We start from the raw sequence: 23,141 nt of genomic DNA, 5'->3' as shown, positions 1-23,141 counted from the left end.
TACTCTTGAACTGCCATTTGTCAGAAGCACTTACCCCAAGTAACTGTTGAAGCCGAAGTAGATGATTTATGGATTAATCTGAATGCAACCTGCAGCCTACAAGCTCAGTCCATCCACCCGAGTCCAGCAGAGCCATAGCCAATCCATAAATCCATCGTCAAAATTAAATGCTGATTTTTGTAAAACACACATATGTTGGTATTGTCTGTGGGACAGCATTATCACAATGAAAAACAAAAACTAATACAAGCAATTTTTACAAAAATATTGTCAAATGAGAGGGTACACAAAACACTCAAATTAGAAGCCGATATTCTCCCTCTACTTTGCTGCTGAACACTCAGAGCTTTGGCACCCTGGGTGATTCAGGGAAATAGCAGTAGCAGGAGAGCCTGGGAGAGACCACAGCATGGGAAAATTATAGGCTTCAACCACAGCAACATCCAGGCCTGGTGCCTGGAAACAGATGGCAGTGGCCGTGCTCTTCGGGGTACTGAGTGACAGAAGAAGTGAGAATCTGTGTATGTGGATGCTTAAAAGACACACAGAGGTGGGAAGCTGGGAGGACAACTCCACGGATGCCACATGGTGGCTGACGATGCTTGTGTATGATCAGATCTGATACATATCCTGCAATCTTCCCAAAAGGCATGTGGTCCTAAAATGCCAGCCAGAGCCAGAAGCAAAGAAAGAGTAACAAGTCCATAACTGCAATGAACTTTTACCTTAACAATCAAACCCTTGGATAGAGACAAAAGGTAAACCTAAACCCAATGCATTTATATATGACTCAATTAATGTTGGAAAAGCTGATATTTTTGATAATGAGATTGAAATTCTGAGGTTTTGAAAGGGTGAAAAGATGGGATAAAGCCAACAAAATGAAATATATAAGCATAAACTTAAATTTTTGCATTTAGATTCAGGAAATCAGATAACCAAATGCAAACGAAGGAATGTAAGATTATAAGAAAAATGTCAGGAGATATTACATTATAAGTCAATGTGATTTATAATAAAGCTAATGCAATCTTATGTTGTATTAATAAAAGTGTAATGTCCAGATGAAAGATGGACCCAGCACTGGATATAGTATGATGTTTGGTTAAATTAAATTCTCTCGGCATTTATCCATCTGTTTTGTACAAGTTATTCTGCTAGATAAGGCATTTTGAGAGTGTATAGTGACAAAATGGAATGACTCCAAAGTAATACAATAGGGAAGGTAAGGGGTCTGGAAGATACAAAATAGAAGGAATTGTTGAAGAAACAAAAGATATTTAGCCTGAGAAGAGATGACTTTATGGGGAAATTAGAATTGTTTTCAAATATTTGAAAGGCTGTTCTTTGAAAGAATGAATAAACTTATTTTGTAAGACTCCAGAGAATAGACCCAAAGCCAATGAGTGGATGCTGTAGAATCAAATTTTGATAAGACTATTAAAAAATTAAGTTGGCTCGCTAACAAAAACATAAGCTTACAGTCTTAGAATATGTAAACAAAGCAAAAGTAAAGTGGTCATGTTGTAAAGGGATGTCTGTTTTGGGTTCTCTCTGTTGCTCTGTCTCCAGACTCTATCATCCTGTGAAGGCTTCTGAAAATTTACTGGCTTCCCAGCAATGAAACAATTTTCATAGAATCCATCTACTTTATCATCCAGAGGGGCATATGTGGGAAGCAACCCATACAAGAATTTTCCCACATTTACAAGGAAGCCTAACTTGCCCACACCATATTTTCCTATGTGCTTTCTGGAGAAGCGAGCTCAGGAACAGTCAAGGAAGGGTTATGTGTATGTGAGTTTGCCCTTACTCAAACATATAGTTATACTGTGTATATGGATGAGTGGTTTGATAAAGAGAGAGATGAATAAAGAAGGGAGAGAGAAGAGAGAAAAATAAAGATGAGAATATCTGTAGCCAAGAAGGCAAAAACTGCCATGTAAAGGTGCACCTGAGCTGCACCTGACTAGAGTCCCCATCTCCTGGGAGAATGACATGTTTTTCTCCCTATGATATGCTGTGGGTTTAGAAAAACTGTTTTCCAAATACGAAAGGTGAAGCACTCAGGCACAGTCTCTCAATCAGATAAGTTAGTCAAAGAGAACTGAATGATTCAGCAGAGAAGGTAAGAAATTTAAGTTTCAAGGGCAGGGACACAATAAAGGATCTAGGCAAGAGAGGGAGAGGGAAATGCCCAGCAAAGTAACTGAATGCCACGGCCATCTGTGGGTGGAGCTGGCCATCTGTAGGTGTGCAGGGGACAGGGATGTGCCAAAGGCAATCATGGCAGTTATAAAATAATTATTCTTGAATTACTCCCAAAACACCAGTAAAAGTTGCCTGATCATGCAGTCTTGTGAGAATGGTCCTTTGGAAGGTGAAACGATCTGGACAGTATCCAGTATGGGATAATGGTAGGCAGCAAAATAACAGAATGCTCAAAAGTTGGGAGCTCAGTAGACACAGAGAAGTAGAACAAGAGGACATAATAATGAATTTTAATCCCACAAAGATCCCCTGAAATATTGAGATGGAAAAGGAATTTCTCACAGGGTTTCCTAGTCTCATTATGGGAGTTGAAGCAGCTTTATTTAAATCCAAATGGTCAAAGTCATCACTGCAGGCTAGAAGACTTGGAACAAGTCAGCATTTGAGAACTGCATTTAAGTATGGGAAAAAACAAGAAAGTACCAATATTTGCAAGTGGGTTGCTGAGTCTGTCAGTCTTCTCTAAACTAAATGAGTAGATGAATGAGAAACACAATAGTCAGCATCTACTTTGAAACAGAGTTTTCAGTACTGAACTGATTGTTAATGCATTATTAATTAGAACTACAATTCAGTGGATGAAACCCAATAAGCACCTTTCATATTTTTGAGGACTTTACTGGGTAAGAGAATTACAAAAAATAAATGAATGTAATTATCTTATGGATAACTCTATATTTTTCTTGATTATGGATAGTATAAGCAAATATTTAAAATTATTTTGAATGTTCTTGACTATTTCTTGGCTAATGAACAGCAGTAATTTAAAAATGTGTATGTTGTGTCATGACTGTATTATTTTTTTAAAAACAAACAACTGTTTAAAAAGTAAACATTTATAGAGTATAATTTTGCTTTTTAAGAGGCTTTAACATCTATTAGTTTACAAATTATCTTAGAGCTTATTTTATTAATGGTTCTTATGATAATCTTATGTTGTTCACTTTAAAGTAGAGGCAACATATAAAATATAAAACAATTTGAGGTTTCAAATAATAAGTCAGTAGATGAAACTTTGTTATGTATATACAGTCATATTTTTTGGTTAATCTTTGTTTTCAATGTCTTTTTTACAGTGAAATATTTATGGGTAAGGCAATATTATGTTGGGGTTTCCTTAAAATACTCCAAAAAAAAAAATTGGGCAAAAATGGAAACAAATGACAGAGTGTTGTTAATTAATGAAGTTGGGTAACAGGTACTCAACTTCATGGCATTATTCTCTCAACTTTTGAGTATGTTTGGAATTTTCCCTAAAACAACTTTTTAAAATAGAAAAATAAATATCTGTTTATATGACATAGACTCTTCCTCTGTAGTTTTTTGATAACTGAAAATGAATTTGAGGTTTACTGTAATAAATAAACCACAATTTCTTTTTCTGACATTCACCATCTTATACCACTTCCACTATTTGTAAATCCCTAAGGATAGGAGGTTTTGTTGAGCATTTCTTTGTAGCTCTAATAATCCATTACAGATAAAAATTACTTAGAATCAGGGAACCTGATTTTTGTTTAAGAGCTGTTCAAAACCACTAACAGAAATCCCTGCAACAGCCTGAGATCTCTGAGAGCCCAAAGAAAGGGGCACATCTGACTCACAGAATTTATAAAATGTGATTAGTCTTATGATGCTCACCAAAGTATGAGAACAGATAATATTGGTACCTCTGTTTGAGAGAAGGGTACTCTATAGATTTTCTTAAGCCAAAACTTTCTCTCCCATTGCAACACTTGAACATCCTTCCCCACATCTGGCATTTGTCTTACTCATAACCCCTACATCCTATCATAAGCAAGGGACACATTTTATGGACAAAGCTTGCATGCCAATATGAGCTTCACCAGAAAGTCAGAAATATTTGCCTTTGTGGTCTCATTCATGGGCTTTTGTGATCAATACCAGATAATTTATTTCCAACTATTAGTCTTCAGTAAGATACACAAGAATTACTTGAGCAATTTTGCTTAAAAGAGATTTTTATACACGATCCCCTCAAAATTGCAATTTGTGGACTTGAGTTAGTTAAGGTCTGATATTGTGATTTGTTTTTCTTTCTTTCAACTTTTCATGTGATCAATCTGCAAACCATCTTGGATGGATTTATTTATCTATAAATAAATCATTCATTTATAGCCTTCACCAAAACCACGAGAAAACTTCTGAAGACCCAGCCTCTCTATATGTTTTAGAACCAAGAGTGTCTCTTGGAATTTCTCTAAAGATCCAAACCAAAATTAAACAGTCTATATATAGTCTAAAGGAAAAATGAAGGGCAAACACTTTGAGACAATAGGGAACAGGTGAACTCTGATGGCTCTGCTTAATAGAAAAATAAGCACGTTAGAGGACTCCAACTAGGTTCTAATGTAGAAGAAAACAAAAAAGGACATAGTAGACAGGAAAGGCATGACTTTAGAACCTAATCCTTCAAAGGGGAATGCAATCCAATTCCAACTTAATATTCTGTTTAAGTTTCCTTCAACGATATATTTGAAAATACTTCACAAAACATAATAGTCTCTTCTGTAAAGCCCATTTATTTTATAGGAGGAGCTGAGGATGTGAGGGTATCTTTTTTCTTTTTTCCCCTTAAGGTCATCCAAGGAGGAAGTGGCTTTAGAATTGGTAACTTAATATTCTGCAAATGGTAAACAGAATAATTCATGAAAAAGCAATGTGGACTTTGGGCCTTCAGAGTGGTAGTTTTCCTTTTTTCTTTCTTCCTTTCTTCCTTCCTTCTTTCCTCCCCTCCTTCCCTCCTCCCAATCTTCAACTATAAAAGTAATGTGTACTTGACAAATATTCAAACAATAAAGAAGTGTATGCTGGAAAAGGGAGAATTTCTCCCTCTTCCCACCTCATCTTACAGATAGTCATGCAATAGAGTCTATCCGGAATCCTATATTGTCTTCATCAGCTCAGGTTGCTATTAAAAAAAACTATAGACTGGGTAGCTTAAACAACACTCATTTATTTCTCACAGTTCTGAAGGCAGGGTGCCAGCATGGTTGAATTCTGATAAAGGCTCTCTTCCTGGCTTGCAGAAGGCTGCCTTCTTGCTTCCCTCATATGATAGAAAGAGAGAGCTCTAGTCTCATCCTTTTCTTATAGGGGCCCTAATCCCATCAAGGGACTCCATCCTCATGATCTCATCTAACCCTAATTATCTCCCAAAGGGGGTTAGGTCTTCAACATATAAATTTTGGAGAGACACAAATATTCACTCAGTTCATAATACATGACTTACATGCACTTACAGATTTAATTTTATATATATATATATATATATATATATATATATATATATATATATATGAGGGTTTCTTTAACAAAAACATAGGAATATGCTCTACATACACTTCAAAAATAAGGGTGTGTTTTTTAAACTTAAAAAGTTGGCCATGAACATTTTTCCGCATCAGTCCTTAGAGATCTGTCTCACATTTCAAAATCGTTCTATGATATTCCATATCATATCCATATGATATTTTGGAAATGTATGGCATTTCCAAAACATACATAACAGTTTTCCTATTAATTGACATTTAGGTTGCTTTTGATTTTTATTTATTACAAACAATCTTACAATTACCATATACAGCCTTATGTGTATATGGTAATATTTCTACAGCATAGATAGAATGTAGTTCTAGTAAAGCAACAAGGAAGAGGTGAGCCATTACAGGACACATGCATTTAGGATGCTGATAACACCAACAAATGGCCCTTCTGAGAGGACTGTACCATTTTTATTCTCACCCACAAGCTCTTCCATTTACATCTTTGTATTAACAATCTTTTACATTTAAAATGTTTATTCCATTATCTGACCCATTATAAATACTCAACAAGTAGTATTTGATAATAAAAATTTGTTATAAAGTTTTAATCTAAAATGCATTATGCTAGTCAATATTTTACTTTATAATTAACCATAGTGGTCCTGAGTTAAATGACTGTTCACATGAGTTTTTAGTAGAATATTATATGACACCACCCTAGTTACTAGAAAACATGCAGGAATATCTTTCTTTTTTTTTTTTTTGAAACCTTATTCTTTTTTTCAATCCATTAGCTGGATTTAGTCACATTTATAAATTTCTTTTTTTAAAACTTTTTTATTATACTTTAAGTTTTAGGGTACATGTGCACAATGTGCAGGTTTGTTACATATGTATACATGTGCCATGTTGGTATGCTGCACCCATTAACTCATCATTTACATTAGGTATATCTCCTAATGCTATCTCTACCCGCTCCCCCCACCCCACAACAGGCTCCAGTGTGTGATGTTCCCCTTCCTGTGTCCATGTGTTCTCATTGTTCAATTCCCACCTATGAGTGAGAACATGCGGTGTTTGGTTTTTTTGTCCTTGCAATAGTTTGCTGAGAATGATGGTTTCCAGCTTCATCCATGTCCCTACAAAGGACACGAACTCATCATTCTTTATGGCTGCATAGTATTCCATGGTGCATATGTGCCACATTTTCTTAATCCAGTCTATCATTGTTGGACATTTGGGTTGCAAAAGAAACTACCATCAGAGTGAACAGGCAACCTACAGAATGGGAGAAAATTTTTGCAATCTACTCATCTGACAAAGGGCTAATATCCAGAATCTACAAAGAACTCAAACAAATTTACAAGAAAAAAACAAACAGCCCTATCAACAAGTGGGCAAAGGATATGAACAGACACTTCTCAAAAGAAGACATTTATGTAGCCAAAAGACACATGAAAAAATGCTCATCATCACTGGCCATCAGAGAAATGCAAATCAAAACCACAATGAGATACCATCTCACACCAGTTAGAATGGCGATCATTAAAAAGTCAGGGAACAACAGGTGCTGGAGAGGATGTGGAGAAATAGGAACACTTTTACACTGTTGGTGGGACTGTAAACTAGTTCAACCATTGTGGAAGACAGTGTGGCGATTCCTCAAGGATCTAGAACTAGAAATACTATTTGACCCAGCCATCCCATTACTGGGTATATACCCAAAGGATTATAAATCATGCTGCTATAAAGACACATGCACACATATGTTTATTGCGGCACTATTCAGAATTGAAAACATGCAGGAATTTCTAAAATTCCCAGGAACATTAGGAAGAATGAGAAAGTCAAGGAGAGCTGGAGGTAACCAGTTAGGTCTTCACACTTCAGAACACACAAGAACTCAAGTCTTTTCACATATTCCTCACATCTCATGGAACCAGAAGAGATAATTCATTCCCAAGGTAAAACTGAGTGTCACCTGGTGAATAAAGCAGGTAAAAAATATTAGCATGAAGTAACATCTGCTGCTATCACAATGAAATAGTGGCACATAGATTATCTTAAAGTGACATAATACCCAGGAAGATGAAACCAATGTGTGGACAGAAGCTCTGAGTAACTGCCTCTATGTTCCTGTGCCCTCTTTAGCTGCTTGCTAAAAATTGTTAGCCCAGACCTGTGAATCACTGGAATTGCTGCAAAAATTGCCAAAGTAACCTCTGAGAAGCAGGTGGTAATGAAGGCTTCTGTCCAGATGCCAGAATCCCATATGCTTGCCAATCTGTGTTTCCAGCATGCACCATTATACTTAAAATTATATTTTCCTTTTCCTGCCCATGTTCACTCTACCATAATTAACAAGGTTCTAATACTTCTTTAGAAAAAAAGAAACATCACAGCCTATTTGCCTTCTCTTAATAAAAATAAAGGTAAAAAAGGCAGTGTCAGACACCTTCAAACCTTCAACCTAAGCTACAACTCCAGTATTCGGTGCTTAAGTAAGTGATTGTCATCAGTCTTTCTGCAGTTTTTTATTTCAACTGTGCCATTGTCTTGTCTGGGCACCTCAGTACTGAGAGAACCACTCTCTGATTTCCTTTCCAAGTCTACTAGAAAAAAAAAAAAATATATATATATATAGTTTCTGGAAAAAAATTAGTCACACTTTTTTTTCCAGAATGGGAAGAGAGAATGTTAAACAAGCAGGTTTTCCACTTCAGAACAATAGATTTCCCAAGCCAGCAATGCCAACTAATATACCCCACACATCATAACCACAAAACTTTTGGCATCCTCCCAGAACTTGCGCTTCTAGATATAAACAACAATAAAAGTTTGAGTGATCAACATCCAAGGTTATATGTCACCAGGAGGATTGAAGTATTTGCCAAACTTAGGTTGACCTTTTTGGGAGCTCAGAGATGTTATGGTTCAGAGGTCAGTCTTTCTAATCATTGTTTTTTCTACTGACTTGTTTACTTTGTCTTTGCCCAGACTGCCCAGCCCCTCCAGGATCTGGCACCACTGGTTATGGAAAATGTCCAAAGCTTCACAACAAGTTGTGTATTTCTGCAAAAGTCAATTTAGCATTATATCCCAATGTAAGGCTCTGAGTGCCACAAATCATTATAAACAGCATTCTCTTACACTCCTTGCCCTATTTTCTCATAGTTTCAGTACAATATCTGCACGCAATATTAGAAAAGAAATACCCTTAAACATGCAACCATTCAACAACAACAACAACAAGGATTAAATTGCTTTCAATGAATATTTTGGAGTTGTAGAATAGTATGTTGATTGTATTAGTAAATCTAAAACAATGTGGGGCTTTTGGGTTTGGTATAGAGAGGTATGATGTTTAGAAAAAGGTTACATTGAGACGTGGATTTCAATCAGCAATTTAAAAGTACACATGATGGCACTTTAATTACATCTTAATGATTAAATCTTAAAAATGATGCTAATTTCAGTCAAAATAACTTTTGAAGATGTTTTTCTTGCCTGCAGCTATCTGAATACATGATAGGCAGGAAATGGGAAAAGAGAATAAAAAGAGACAGTATTCTAACCACATAAAAGTGTAATTGGGTTTTTTGTTTTTTTTTAATTAAATAATAGTTGTACATATTTATACGGCAAATGCAATATTTTGATACAAGCATACAATGTGTAATGATCAAATCAGGGTAATTACAGTATCCATCATGTCAAGCATGTATTATTTCTTTGTGTTAGGAACATTCCAATTCCACTCTTCTGGTTATTTTGAAATACACATACATTATTGTTAACTATAGTCACCTTATTGTGGTACCAAATACTGAATCTTATTCCTTCTATCTAACTATATTTTTGTACCCATTAACCAGTCTCTCTCTATTCCCTCCTTCCCAGCTTCTGGTAAACATCATTCTACTCTCTGTCTCCATGATATTTTTTTTCTCTTTTTATTTAGCTCCCACATATGAGTAAGAATATGCAATATTTGTCTTTCTGTGTCTGGCTTATTTCACTTAACATAATATCCCCCAGTTCCATCCACATTGTGGCAAATGATAGGATTTCATTCTTTTTATAGCTGGATAATATTCCATTGTGTGTATATATATCACATTTTCTTCATTCACTTATCTGTTAACGGACACTTAGGTGAATTCCATATCTTGGCTATTGTAAATGGCACTACAATAAACATGGGCACATAGATATCGCTTCAATGTCTTGATTTTCTTTCTTTTAGATATATACCCAGCAGTGGGATTGCTGGATCACATGGTATTTCTATTTTTAGTTTTTGTGAGGACCCTCCATATTGTTTTCCATAATGGCTGTTCTATGTACATTCCCACCAACAATGTACAGGGGTTTCCTTTGCTTCACATCCTTACCAGCATTTCTTATTGTCTGTCTTTTGGATAAAAGTCATTTCAACTGGAGTAAGATGATAGTTCATTGTAGTTTTCATTTGTATTCTCTGATGATTAGTGATGCTGATAATTTTTTATATACCTATATGCCATTTGTATAACTTCTTTTGAGAAATGTCTACTTAGATCTTTCGCCCCTATTTTAATTGAATTATTTGTGTTTTTTTCTGATTGAGGAGTTCAAGCTCCTTGTGTATTCTGGTTATTAATCCCTTGTCATATGAATAGTTTGAAAACATTTTATCCCATTCGGTAAGTTGTCTCTTCATTTCGTTGATTGTTTCCTTTTTTGTGCAAAAGCTTTTTAACTTGTTGTGATCCCATTTGTCCATTTTTGCTTTGGTTGCCTGTATTTTTGAGGTCTTATGCAAGAAATCTCTGCCCAAACTAATGTCCTGGAGTGCTTCCCCAGTGTTTTCTTCTAGTATTTTCATAGTTTCAGGTCTTAGATTTAAGACTTTAGTCCATTTTCACTTAACTTTTGCATATGGTGAAAGATACGGATGTACTTTTGTTCTTCTACAGATGAATAACCAATTTTTCCTGCACCATTTATTTAATATATTGTCCTTTCCCCCAGTGTATGTTCTTGAGGCCTTTGTGAAAATGAGTTGACTATAAGTGCCTAGATTTATTTATGGGTGTTTATTTACCTTGAATTAGAGTTCATAACCATAATTGAAAGATCTAATAAAAATAGGCAACATTTGGATATGTTTCAGCACAGAGGACACTGTATTTGCCTTACAAAAAAATCAACATTGAAGATGAAAAAAATAGTAACAAAAACTCTAATATACACAGTCTGTCTGCTTGTATGCCCTACCTCCCACTGTCACGTAATCTTATGTTTAGGTTCTGTTTGGACAAAAAAAAAAAAAAAAAAAAAGAGAGAGAGAGAGAGAGAGGAAAAGAGAAGTTTGAAAAGAGTTTTCTCAGCAGAAAATTAAAACAGAAATTTGGGAAGAGTTGATGCAAATACTGAGCTCTCAGTGCATTTTTTTCCCTCAGCATTTCCTCTTCCCAGAAGAAAGATGGAAACTATAGAAATATAAATGATAACATTGCTTACTTTAAAATGCTAATAATAATAATGAGTAAAAGGGAAAGGCTTCTTAAAGCACTGTACTTAAACATATTGACCTTCTATAAAAAATAAGAAAGGGCTGAAATAGGTCCCTGGTATAGATTATCTAAAACAAATCAGAATAAATAAATGTCATGCTTCTGTTGCAGAGTTGTATTTTAATTACGGTATGTTTTTCATTGATTTTGTTATGGACTTTCTAATAATGTTTGTAATCTTTTTCCTAAACTTAAAGTTCCAGCTACGCTAAAAATTCCAAATTTTCCAAAGCACATTACTGATGCCTCTAGGTCTTTGCACATGCTGTTTCTTCTGTAGGTTATTTGCATTCCTTACAATACATGGCAGGAAAAAGATTGGCCAACAATGAAGTTTCTTGTTCAGATACTTCCCAGGCATAAGATAATATTTTATGTTGTGAAAGTAGCAATTCAAATCATTACGCTAATTATTTAGTCCATAAATAGTATTTGAAGAATTTGCTATTTTTTTTGAAAATAAATAAACTTAGATTCCTGCTTCCTCCCTTATTCAAACCAAGATTCCAGGGGTTTAGTGATGTGAATGCGTAAAATAAAACCATACAAGTGTTAGAATACTATTTAGGAAAAGAATTGTTATAATCAACAGGTACAAGGAGGAAATTTATGGACGAAAAGCAAGTAACTAATAAACATGAGATGAAAACCTCAATATTGATCAGATGAATATAAACTGGAATAGCTATTCTATACCAGTCATCATTTATCATAATATCTTATTAACAGCTGAGGGAGTGAAAAAAATTATTCTTGATGTTGTAAAAAATTCACTTTCAATGTTGGTGAGACTGGTAAAAAGATTTTAAAGGACAATTAGAACAATAACTCAAAATTTCAAATATGCATGCATACATATCAACGGAGAAATTTTAGTTTTGAGGATCCATCTTATAAAAACACTCCTACATGTATACACACATATTCACAAACACACACACACACACACACACACACATTTTCATTGCAATATCATTGGCTAGAGCAGTAAAACGGAGAGGTAGAAGTCCATTAACAGGATATTGGTTAAATCAATCAGAATTTAACCATGAAACAGATAATCAGATCACTGTTAAAATGAACAAAGTACATCTGTATGTACCAAAATGGACAAATGTTCAGGATAAAATTTTAAGTCAAAAAAGAAAGTTTCAGAGAAATATATACTGAATGCCTTCATATACAATTACATAATGTTACTGTTTGAAAGTTTTACATGTATAGCTATATGTAATTACCCATGGATGTTTCAACCTGCTCATGTGTCACCTTTTGTTTTGACTCTTTTTTGGAGTCCCTGTGAATATGACCTCCACCTCTTAATATACTTCAACACTTTATGTATACAACTATAATTCCACTTCCATAATACCCTTGTAGTTTCCAATCAAATAAAGATTTTAAAATTTATTAGTAGACATAACTGCTAAACTTTCAGAAATACATGCTAATCTGCCACACCCCAAATGTCAAAACTGTGTTGGAAAAATATCAGAGGAAACCTTCCAAAAAATACTTGGAGCCTCAACTATTTACCTAACTTGTCTGAAGATAACAGGAGATGTGGAGGTAAGGCAATAGAGGCAGGTGGTATGGCCACATTCAGGGCATTCTCCACCCACTGAGAGCAGTCACTCAGACTCCTGAGGGGAGGGAGGGGAACACCTCCACTAAAAAGCCTGCCCCTTATAATGCTCCCTGATTTTTAAATCTCTCATCAAGTGCAGGCAAGTGGGAGCTGAAGAAGGAGAAAGAGTACAAGTTCTTGTATGAGCTCAAGCAAGGAACAGCGGGCAGTTCACATAGATGCTCCACAGTTATTTGCCTAACATCTGCTCCCATCAACCTAGTTGCCAGGCAGAGTTTTACAGACATTAGGATTATGCTATTGACTATATGTTTAAAATTCTGTTAGGATTGAGGAGATGAGAAAGTATGTAATCTAAAGGAAAGGAAACAAAATATATACATAAGTCAATCCAAAGTAACTATTCACATATACTTGCAGTTTTATATTTTTACAATATCATTAATCTCAGAGATTAGAATATCTCACTGATGAAGCACTTTCATAAAATGATAGAATCGTTTAAGACATTTGATATTTTAAGATCTCCTATGATTTTTTTTTTTTACTAATTTTCTCTGCAAAGACAATGATGAGTCACTAAGGTCAATTTGAGAGAACTGTGGTATTAAATCCTTAGAGATTTTCCACCAACTTGTAACCTTTTCCAAACCACCATCCCCAACTTCAAATTCAAAATTACTAAGCTATTTAGGAGTTTAATGGAATTCAAACAAATCCAGCATAAATTAATATTTTGATAGATGATAGAGATAAACATGTACTTAGATAGATGATAGATATAGATATAGATACTACATCATTATAAAAATATATGTATCAGATATATGTCATGCATGTTGGTTGACATGTATCTATAACCCAAATAAGTGTGAAAATAATTGTAGACAGCATCTTGTAGTGACATTACAAAATGTTAAGGTCATTTTTTCTGGTGAGCATCACAGGAAAAAATTAAAATCTTAGCCCAATTGGAATCTAAAATAAGGCAAAGAAATTGTTTAAAACATTTTTATTGACATCATCTAATGCAGTGGTTCTCAAAAATGTGGTCCCAATACAGCGGCATAAGCATCACCTGGGAACTTGTTAGAAACTCTGAGGGTGGAGTGCAGCAATATGAATTCAATGAGCTGTCCAGGTGATTCTGATGCCCACTCAAGTTTCCAAATCACTGTTCTAATGGGTTATAGTTTTGTGGGCTCTGATAAGCTCAACTTGGAATGTATTGACAATTTGTTTTTCCCAAGGTTTTTGTGTTAGTCCGTTTTCACACTGCTGATAGAGACATACCTGAGACTGGGCAATTTACAAGGGAAAGAGGTTTAATAAACTTACAGTTCCACATGACTGGGAAGGCCTCACAATCATGGTGGAAAGCAAGGAGGAGCAAGTGACGTCTTACATGGATGGCCACAGGCAAAAAGAACTTGTGTGGGAAAACTCCTTCTTATAAAACCATCAGGTCTCATGAGACTTATTCACTACCACAAAAACAGCACAGGAAAGATCTGCCCCCCATGATTCAGTTATCTCCTACCAGGTCTCTCCTACAACATGTGGGAATTATGGAGGCTACAATATGAGATTTGGGTAGGGACACAGAACCAAACCATATCACTCTTCTTTCACAGAACATTTACGTTTGGCTTACTGGGTGAATTCTCAATATCTAAGAGTTAATTCCTTGGTCATTTTAGATGCTCACATAATTTTTAAATGAGTAAGTATTTGTATATGAGACATTTTAACAATGAAACATATGATCTATTTTTTATTTGTAAATGCTTACATGAAAATCATAAACTATTATAAAACTATGACTATTGAATCCATTGATTTATAGGTAACAAATAATCTCTATTAGGGAAAAAAAAGTAACAATTGGGCCTATCCCAATATATTCCAATAATTTTATCTAAAGGAAAAGCTGAGCAGTATCTGTATTTATTATAAAAGACAGTCATTCATAATGTTTCTTCCTTGACTTCAACTCTACTTCTACCACTCGGTCTTTCTGCCAAAGTAAGTAGATGAATCTATTGATGGCTTTAAGTTATAACAATTCATGTGTGGATTGAAAATTAAATTTATGATGCAGACTAAAACCCAGCACCTTCTTCTTGCAGGTATGCTAGCGTATAATAGTCGTCTACTTCCCATCACTGTATAGTTGAGTTTTCAAAGTCTTCGAACCTTCTAAATCTAAGATGAGTTTTCTATAAAATCACAGTATAAAGTCAACGCTCAAATATCTTCCTCAAATAGTTCAAACATGATTAATCAAGAAGATGAAAGGCATAAAAATAAATGTGCATATGATGAGCACTTGCCACTGAGTCTAACTAAATTTGAAATCACAAATAACCCAAATGAAGGCAACACAATAACTCTGATTATAGAAGAAACTATTTTTATTCTATTACCTCCAAATATTTTAATAGAAACACTAATTATATTGTAACTTAATTGAAATGGGTTAGAAGTTGAGATGATGGCATAGAGAAGCAAATAAAAACAAGAAATTAACAAAAGTTTTCTATAATTACTAGAGTGACTAGGACACAATGGACATAATTCTTATTTCTGATTTATCTTAAATCCCCACATTAATGTCCCTAAGATTAAGGCCATGTAATAGGACATTGGCTTAGCTGTCTACGTTTTAACTTGTTCTTTATTATATCTCTTCAATTTAGTCTTATTAGCCCAATACATATAAAATAAGCCATAAGTATTACAAGCTGTTGGGTTAAATCTCCATTTAATTCTCATACATATATCATAGGCCTTTAAAGATTCAACTAATCAAAATTCTCATATTCAAAATGAAATAATGTAGCCATTACAATTAAAATTTCTTACCATCAAATAGCAGTTAATATCTCAATTTAAATATCAATCAAAAGTAATATGAATCTTCAGGAAAAGATATCACAAATTGAAATGTTTTGCATGATTGGGGATTACATAGATATTTGAATTCTTCAACCCCAAAAGGAAAAATATGATCTGTACCATATGAGTATACATCTCAATTTATTTTTCTTTTTGAGTAAATAATTTTAAAATATTATTTAATGCCTTTCTTATTAGCATTAGCATATATCTCCCTCTTTCTCATTCAGCAATGCCAACCCTGAGAGACTGATAGCAGTAAGAAGGGAAAAGCTGCCTTTGCAGTTTTTTTTTCTCCTCCTGGCTCCTCCAGCCCTGCCTCCTGTTTCCTTGCCCCTGAGCCTGACATAAGTTGCAGTTGTCACCAGCAGCTCAGGTAACAGACAGAAACCCCCAGCTGTTCTGAAACCTTGCCAAGAGCAGCAATTGTTCAGCACCGGTGGGTGTAGGAGTGTGCCTGGCACCTCCATCCGGAGCATTCTGAGTTGAAAGAAAAACCTCTATTAACGGGGCATGCTAATGATCTTTACATTTTAATTAGAAGTGCTTGAGTTAAGATCACTCACTGAAACATTAATGAAAAAGGGAAGGTTTACCTCCTGTTCCTCTGCTTTTTGACTACAAGAAAGAAGCAATAAGCTGACCTGAATCAGGTTAGAGCAAGTATCAAGAAAACTCATTAGAATTGTGTGATTTCATCCAAGCTGGAAATACCAGATATTTCCATTTCAAAGCCAAGAAAACATAAGGTGAGCAAAGAGAATCCTCCTTGGAGTATCATGAAGTAGGAGTTTCTCAGGTCTCTACCTGTTTCTCTCCCTCCACTCATATACATACATACATTTTTATGTGATTTTTTTCATACCCAAATAAATATACTGTTAAAGTGTCCAATGCCTTCAATATGCAGAAATCAAAAGCCACATGCCTATATAAATGTTCTAAGGACTCCACCATGTTTGAATATGTCTCTATGCAATTTGAAGTTTTTTGTTGGCTTTCTTTATCTAAAAGCATCAAATATCATAATAAATGAATTCAGAAAGATTCCTTTCTTATAATAACCAAAAAAGTTAACAGTTAATTTTTTTGGAAAATATTTTTAAAAAATTTCCCTTAAACTGAGGATTAATGTGTCCTTTTGAAAATAGAGAAACAGACAAAATCTAAGGGACTTTATTGGGAAAAAGTCCCATGAGGGTCAGGACCAACAACCCAATGATTTCTAAAGCACCATCATCATCATGGATGTTTTCACACTTTGACACCATATAAAAAGGCCCTAAATATAATGTAGAAGAAAGTATCAAGTCCAAGGTCAGTGCTAGGAAATGGCACTGAGCATCTACTCAGACAGAAATACATGGGACCGGCATGGTGGCCCACACCTATAATCCCATCACGCTGGGAGACTGAGGTGGGCAGAACACTTGAAGTTAGAAGCTCCAGACCAGCCTAGCCAACATGGTGAAACCCTGTTTCTACTAAAAATACAAAAATTAGCCAGTTATGGTGGCAGGTGCCTGTAATCCATGCTACTCAGGAGGCTGAGGCACGAGAATCGCTTGAACCCAGGAGGCAGAGGTTGCAGTGAGCCGAGACTGTGCCACTGCACTCTACCCTGAGTGAGATTCTGTTTCAAATAATAATAATAATAATATGCAGAAAGAAGTATATGCATGAAGACAGGACAGTGGTGAGTGGCTTCTCTTAGCTTAGCTATTTCACTTCAGTGTAATTTTAATTAACCCAAATGCTGCCTCAATTCTCCTTTCTCAATATGTATTATAGATCAGGGCTTCCTCAAGTGACATTTACAGACATCTGGTGGTCCACAGTGGTTATTCAACGGGCCTGCAAAGAACATGGAAGCTTCAAAAGAAAAAATTAATGAAGTGATTATGTTAACAAACATTTCAGAAACTTATAATATCAAATGATGTGATTTGCATGGAAGCCTTGTTACATGTTTAATAATCATCACCTTCTGAAAAGTTGTTGCAGGCCATTCTTCTTGCCTATTCTTCAGTTAACATAATGTATTTTTGTCTCTGCTGATGAATTTGTCACCATTTGCAACATATTTCTTATAATTGTGAATTTAGTATTTTCTATTTTAAGTATCATGCTGAGCTAATACTCCTAGTTGAAAATTTGGACCAATGGTTCAAAAAGCATTCAATGATGCATGAAAGTAATGAAGACAATAATAATAATTTCAATAAGTCAGAAGGTCATACAAATAAAAAAAGAATGGAACTCCATTGCAAATATAGAATATAAATTTTTATGTATTTGAATATGTGAATCTGCTGGTGTTACGATTTTGCATAAGAAGATGAAAAGTGAAGTGAATATCTGAAAATTGATGTTTGGGGGAACAGCAAATTGATTGTCTCCCAGCCCAATTCTATTTTCTGTAATGACACTTCTTCCAAATAATGACATAAATCCATAGAAGCTTTATTTCTAAAGAAAACAAGGTGACTTCTTATGAAAACAACCAGGCTTTTCAATATAAAATTAATTTTTCCACCTGGATAAGAAGAGACTAAAACTAGAGTGGCATCATTCACAGTGGCCCTTCTCATAAAACTAAATCCTTTATTTGTAATAGTTTAAGTCTCTTGCTCTTATACACTTGTTCATTAAATTCCATGATTTTTCCATTTACATCATCTTGTCATCTACAGATAATGACAGATGACTCTTCATTTCCAACGATTCTTCTTTCTTTTTTCTCATCAAAATTATTATTTGGGGTTAGTCCTCTAGCACAGTATTGAAGATTTGTAGCAATAATTAGCATTTTCTTATTCCTGAATGAGAAAAAGAGAGTAGGAGAGGAAAAGAAGGGGGATGACGAGGAGAGGCAAAGGTGTGGGAAAGGGAGGGAGGAAAAGAATAAGAATCTTAGGACCATTTAGTAATAAATTAAAAGTCCTGTATTCCTATATATATATATATATATATATATATATCCTGAAGCTATCACTTGTTATCACAGCACAGAAAAATAGTTGATGTTTAAAAGAATTATATTAACTAATCAAGAGTGGGATCAATTATGATCAGAAAATAAGAATACTAATGAGAATTCTTATTTAAAATATGGCCAATCAAAATGTGATGTAAACATTTTTAAAAATGTGCTTCCAGAGAATTTCAGATAGTTCTGATTCTCTATCACCTGAAGAAATATTCTTGCCAGTTCTAAAAATATTCAAGAGGAACATTTCCAATTTGCTCTTTCTAGGTTTATACAAGAGGATAACTTAATAAAATTTGTATGAAGACAACACTTGTAGATGCATTAATTAATCATTAGATAAAATGATAGGAATAACTTCTGAAATTTATTTTAAGTAATTTGTTCACACTTTCTTACACTGAATTCAAGAGGCATTTCTTGTAATATTTTAAAAATAATCATAAACTAAGAAAAAATGTAGAAGTACAGCACAAAATCTTTTATTTTCCTAAACCACTTGAGAATAAATTGCTGATATCATGTCCCATTGTCCCTCAATCCCAAATTTTCTGTTTCCAGCAAAAAAAGGACATTATTTTATATAATCATATAACTATCAACATCAGGAAATTAACACTAATAAAATTCTCTAATCTGTAGACAACAGTAAGTTTCTCCAGTTGTCCTAGTAGTGTCCTTATAGCAAAGTGATCTAAGCATTCAGATTCACGTGTTGTGTTTACTTTTATGAATTTCTAGTCCCCTTTAGGCTGCAAGAGGTTTTCACTTTCTCCTTGACTTTGAGGACCTTGATGCTTTGCCAATCATAGGCCAGTTATTTTGTAATGTTCTCCAATCTGGATTTACCTGATCTTATACATTTCTGGTATTAAAATTGGGACATAATTTTAATTTGTCTCATTGATAATGGCATTCACTTTGATCACTAGATTAACATGAGACCTACCACCCATCTTTCTCCACTGTGAAATTCCTTTCTAACTAATATTTTGTGATGATATACTTCTAAACTATTTAAATATCCTGTGATATAATTATCTTGTTAATTATATCACCATGGACTCCTGCTTTCTTGTTTTATCAGTGGGTTATAATCTATTAAAATCATAGTTATTTTAATATGCAAGGATAACATGGTTCAGCCAGTGGAAACACCTCCAAGAAGGTCTGAGTTATTTATTTTGCCACAAGATGACCTAGACCCACCAAACTTCCCCTGCTCCAGACCTGAAAGCAGTGTTTCTCAAAGAACCCTTGGGTCCATTCTTGTGGAGAATAGCTGCTCCAAAGTCTTCTCAGTGGACAGAGCAAGTGGATATATATGTGTATGTACATAACACATACAAAAACACACGTTCAGAGTGTTTATAAATACACAACTATATTTTTTATCTATCTTTATCTATTTATATTAAAAATCATGAGTTCATACCAGTAGTGTTGAACCCAATCTTCATGGTTCATCTACTCTTCTCCTTTGCTATATTTACAACCCTTTTTACAATAGTAAGAAACTAACTCCCATTGTCTTTCATATATTTATTTATCTATTTAACCAATTCCTCTGTATGTAGCCAGATTTCCATCTCTGTCATCACCTATTCCCCATCCAAGGACTCAAAAGCCAGTTTGCATGTCCCCCTTACCCTACTCAGACTCTAACTCTTCATCTTAGCCCCTACCCCACGTGAACATCCTCCTCAACTTGCTCAGACAATGACACCCCACCAAGGTCACATGGGTCTCTCCCTTACTCTGCTCAGGTTCTGCCTCATGCCGGGTCACCCTTATAGGCAGATGTCCTCCTCACCCTGCTAGCCTTCTAACTGCCAGTTCACACCAGACTCACAGTGACATGAACACCTAACATTATCAACCCCATCTGATTTATTTAGGAATAAAAAGAAAGCAGAAAAACGGTGTTGTATGGTATTCTATACTACATTGAGCCTTTATAAGCATTATTAAAAACCCAAGTACACTTTTTGCAAGTATGGTATTTATTTGTTCATATCAATTAATCAACAAGCATTTATTGAACACCTGCTATGTGCTCAGTGATATGAGAGAAGAATGAAAAAGTTCCTGTAATATAGCTACTTGAAATTAGATTGTAAATTGAAGAAAAAGTAGAATAGTAAAAGTCCACTATATTTTCTATAGCAATAGAAACATAAATTGAAAGATACATAACTATTATAGTCTCAAACGGTCATAATAGTTTGCTTTGACATAACCTTTCTACACATGATGTCTATGCCTTTCCTTCCTACTTCACTGAAGCTCACCCAGCATCGAGCTTTCTATTAATGATTCAGAATGGATGATGCTAAGTTTCATTCTGTTAAATTACTGGAGCATACACTATCATAATTTTGATATCACTGTCATCAGGGTTAACACATAGTAGCCTCACAGCATAATGCAAAAAAAAATCATCAGTTAAAAAAATAAAAGAAGAAAGAAATGTACTGCAGAGTAAAATTTAAAAAGAGTTTGCCATAGGTTAGTCTGACTCAGGAATGCAATTTATATTTTAAACATAATTTTCATAGAGGTCTACATTTCACTTTAAATGTGTAAAGCATAAAGCATGCCTTCATGTTCTGGATCAGAGTGTGGATGTTATGACTGTGGAACCATGAGGACCCTACAGGAGTATTAAAAACCAGAACAAGCACCCATGGGGAGAAGAAAAGACCAGGAGCCAGTGTAACCCAAGAAGACAACAGTCCTGTTGGGAAGCCCTATAGGAGTGGTGAAAAAAGGAGGTAGTTGCTGCCATTTGCTACTGTCTCCACAACTGTCATCATTCTTGATGGCTCAAAGGGAACCAATAATCATTTGTATCTAAAAAAGTGTTAGGCGTGGGTTATATTAATGTCATACCTGAAGGGTAAATACTGACTAATGTGCACAGCAAGAAATGTCAACTATTGTTAAAATCAGTAATTGCTGTTTTCAGATACTTCTTTTGTCAAGATAGAAGTGCAGAAATGGTGATGGAAGCAATTATTCATTCCTTTGGTTCAACAAGTGTGTTTGAACTTCATTCTTTTGCCTTCTACAACAGTGATTGAGACTCAGTACTTCCATGTAATGTCATTTGTGATCAAGGCACAGCCTTTATTAAGGTACAAAATATTTATTTATACAACCTAAGAAATAAAAGCTATTTACTGAATGTCCTGGTTGTTCTCTACACTGCAAACGTGGTCCTATATTCCAGGGGCCCCCAACCCTCAGGCCACAGACTGGTACCAGTCCCTGGCCTGTTAGGAACCAGGTCACACAGCAGGAGGTGAGCAGCAGGTGAACAAGCGAAGCTTCATCTGTATCTATAGCTGCTCCCCATTGCTTGCATTACCACCAGAGCTCCACCTCCCATCAGATTAGCCGCAACATTGGATTCTCATAAGGATGTGAACCCTATTGTAAACTGCACATGCAGGGGATCTAGGATGCATGCCCTTTATGAGAATCTAATGCCTGATGATCTGAGGTGGAGCTGAGAAGGTGTTGCTAGCCCTGTGGAGTGACTGAAAATACAGATTAACATTAGTAGAGAGGTTTGACTGCACAGAGACAATAATAAATAAATTGCTTGCAGACTCATATCAAAATCCTAGCAGTGAGCGGCAAGTGACAATTAAGTTGCATCTGGTGGCAGGCTTTATATGGAAAATCAGTTGATATACTTCAGTTGTACAGCTGCATCCAGTGGCAGGCTTTAAGTCAGAATCTGATACATTTTAGTCCATGCATGGCCCACCCATTATTTTATTTACCACTTCCATCCGCGCCTCATTCCCATACTGCACACTTGTCTCAGTCATGGTTTTGGTAAGCCCACAAGCTAACCCTAGCCAAAATGAGTTAAAAATAAACATCACTGGAGAGCTTATTTGAAAAGCGGAAAAGACTCAATGATGAGACAGTAGAAGACTCTAAGACTGCCAATAAAAAGAAAACTGCATTTAAAAGAAAATAACAAAGGTTCCACTTAAATTACAGTTTCATTGCAACAGTTGATTCACATTCTTCAATCCCATTCTGTATAATATGTGGCAACCGGTTATCCAACAAAGCCATGAAACCTTCAAAACTGCTTCACAAAGAGAACAAGAACCCTGCATTAAAAGACAAGCTTTGGCCGGGTGCAGTGGCTCACACCTGTAATCCCAGCACTTTGGAAGGCTGAGGTGGGCGGATCATGAGGTCAAGAGATCGAGACCATCCTGGCCAATAATGTGAAACCCAGTTTCTACTAAAAATACAAAAATTAGCTGAGTGTGGTGGCTTGCACCTGTAGTCCCAGCTACTCGGGAGGCTGAGGCAGGAGAATCACTTGAACCTGGAGGCGGAGGTTGCAGTGAGCCAAGATTGTGCCACTTCACTCCAGCCAGGCAACAGAGCAAGACTCCATCTAAATAAATAAATAAAATAAAATAAAATAAAATAAAATAAAGACAAGCCTTTGGAATTTCTAAAAAAAAAAAAAAACAATGTGAACATGAAGAACAGACACAATTATTGAAGGCAACCAC

At 35.2% G+C, this 23,141-nt stretch overlaps 1 long non-coding RNA gene across 2 annotated transcripts in view; it reads right to left on the bottom strand.

Annotated features, from left to right (window-relative positions):
• The window catches only part of LOC105374140 (uncharacterized), a 266,957-nt gene extending 246,988 nt beyond the window's left edge, over positions 1-19,969 (bottom strand). For both annotated transcript variants that reach the window (XR_007096124.1, XR_001740941.2), the window contains exon 1: positions 35-19,969. This is a non-coding gene — a long non-coding RNA (uncharacterized LOC105374140). The remainder of the gene's footprint in view (positions 1-34) is intronic.
• Between the last annotated feature and the right edge of the window lie 3,172 nt (positions 19,970-23,141).

The sequence above is a fragment of the Homo sapiens genome, chromosome 3 (assembly GCF_000001405.40).
Source record: "Homo sapiens chromosome 3, GRCh38.p14 Primary Assembly".
In the NCBI taxonomy this organism is placed as follows: Eukaryota; Metazoa; Chordata; class Mammalia; order Primates; family Hominidae; genus Homo; species Homo sapiens.
This window is presented reverse-complemented; position numbering and strand designations above follow the sequence as displayed.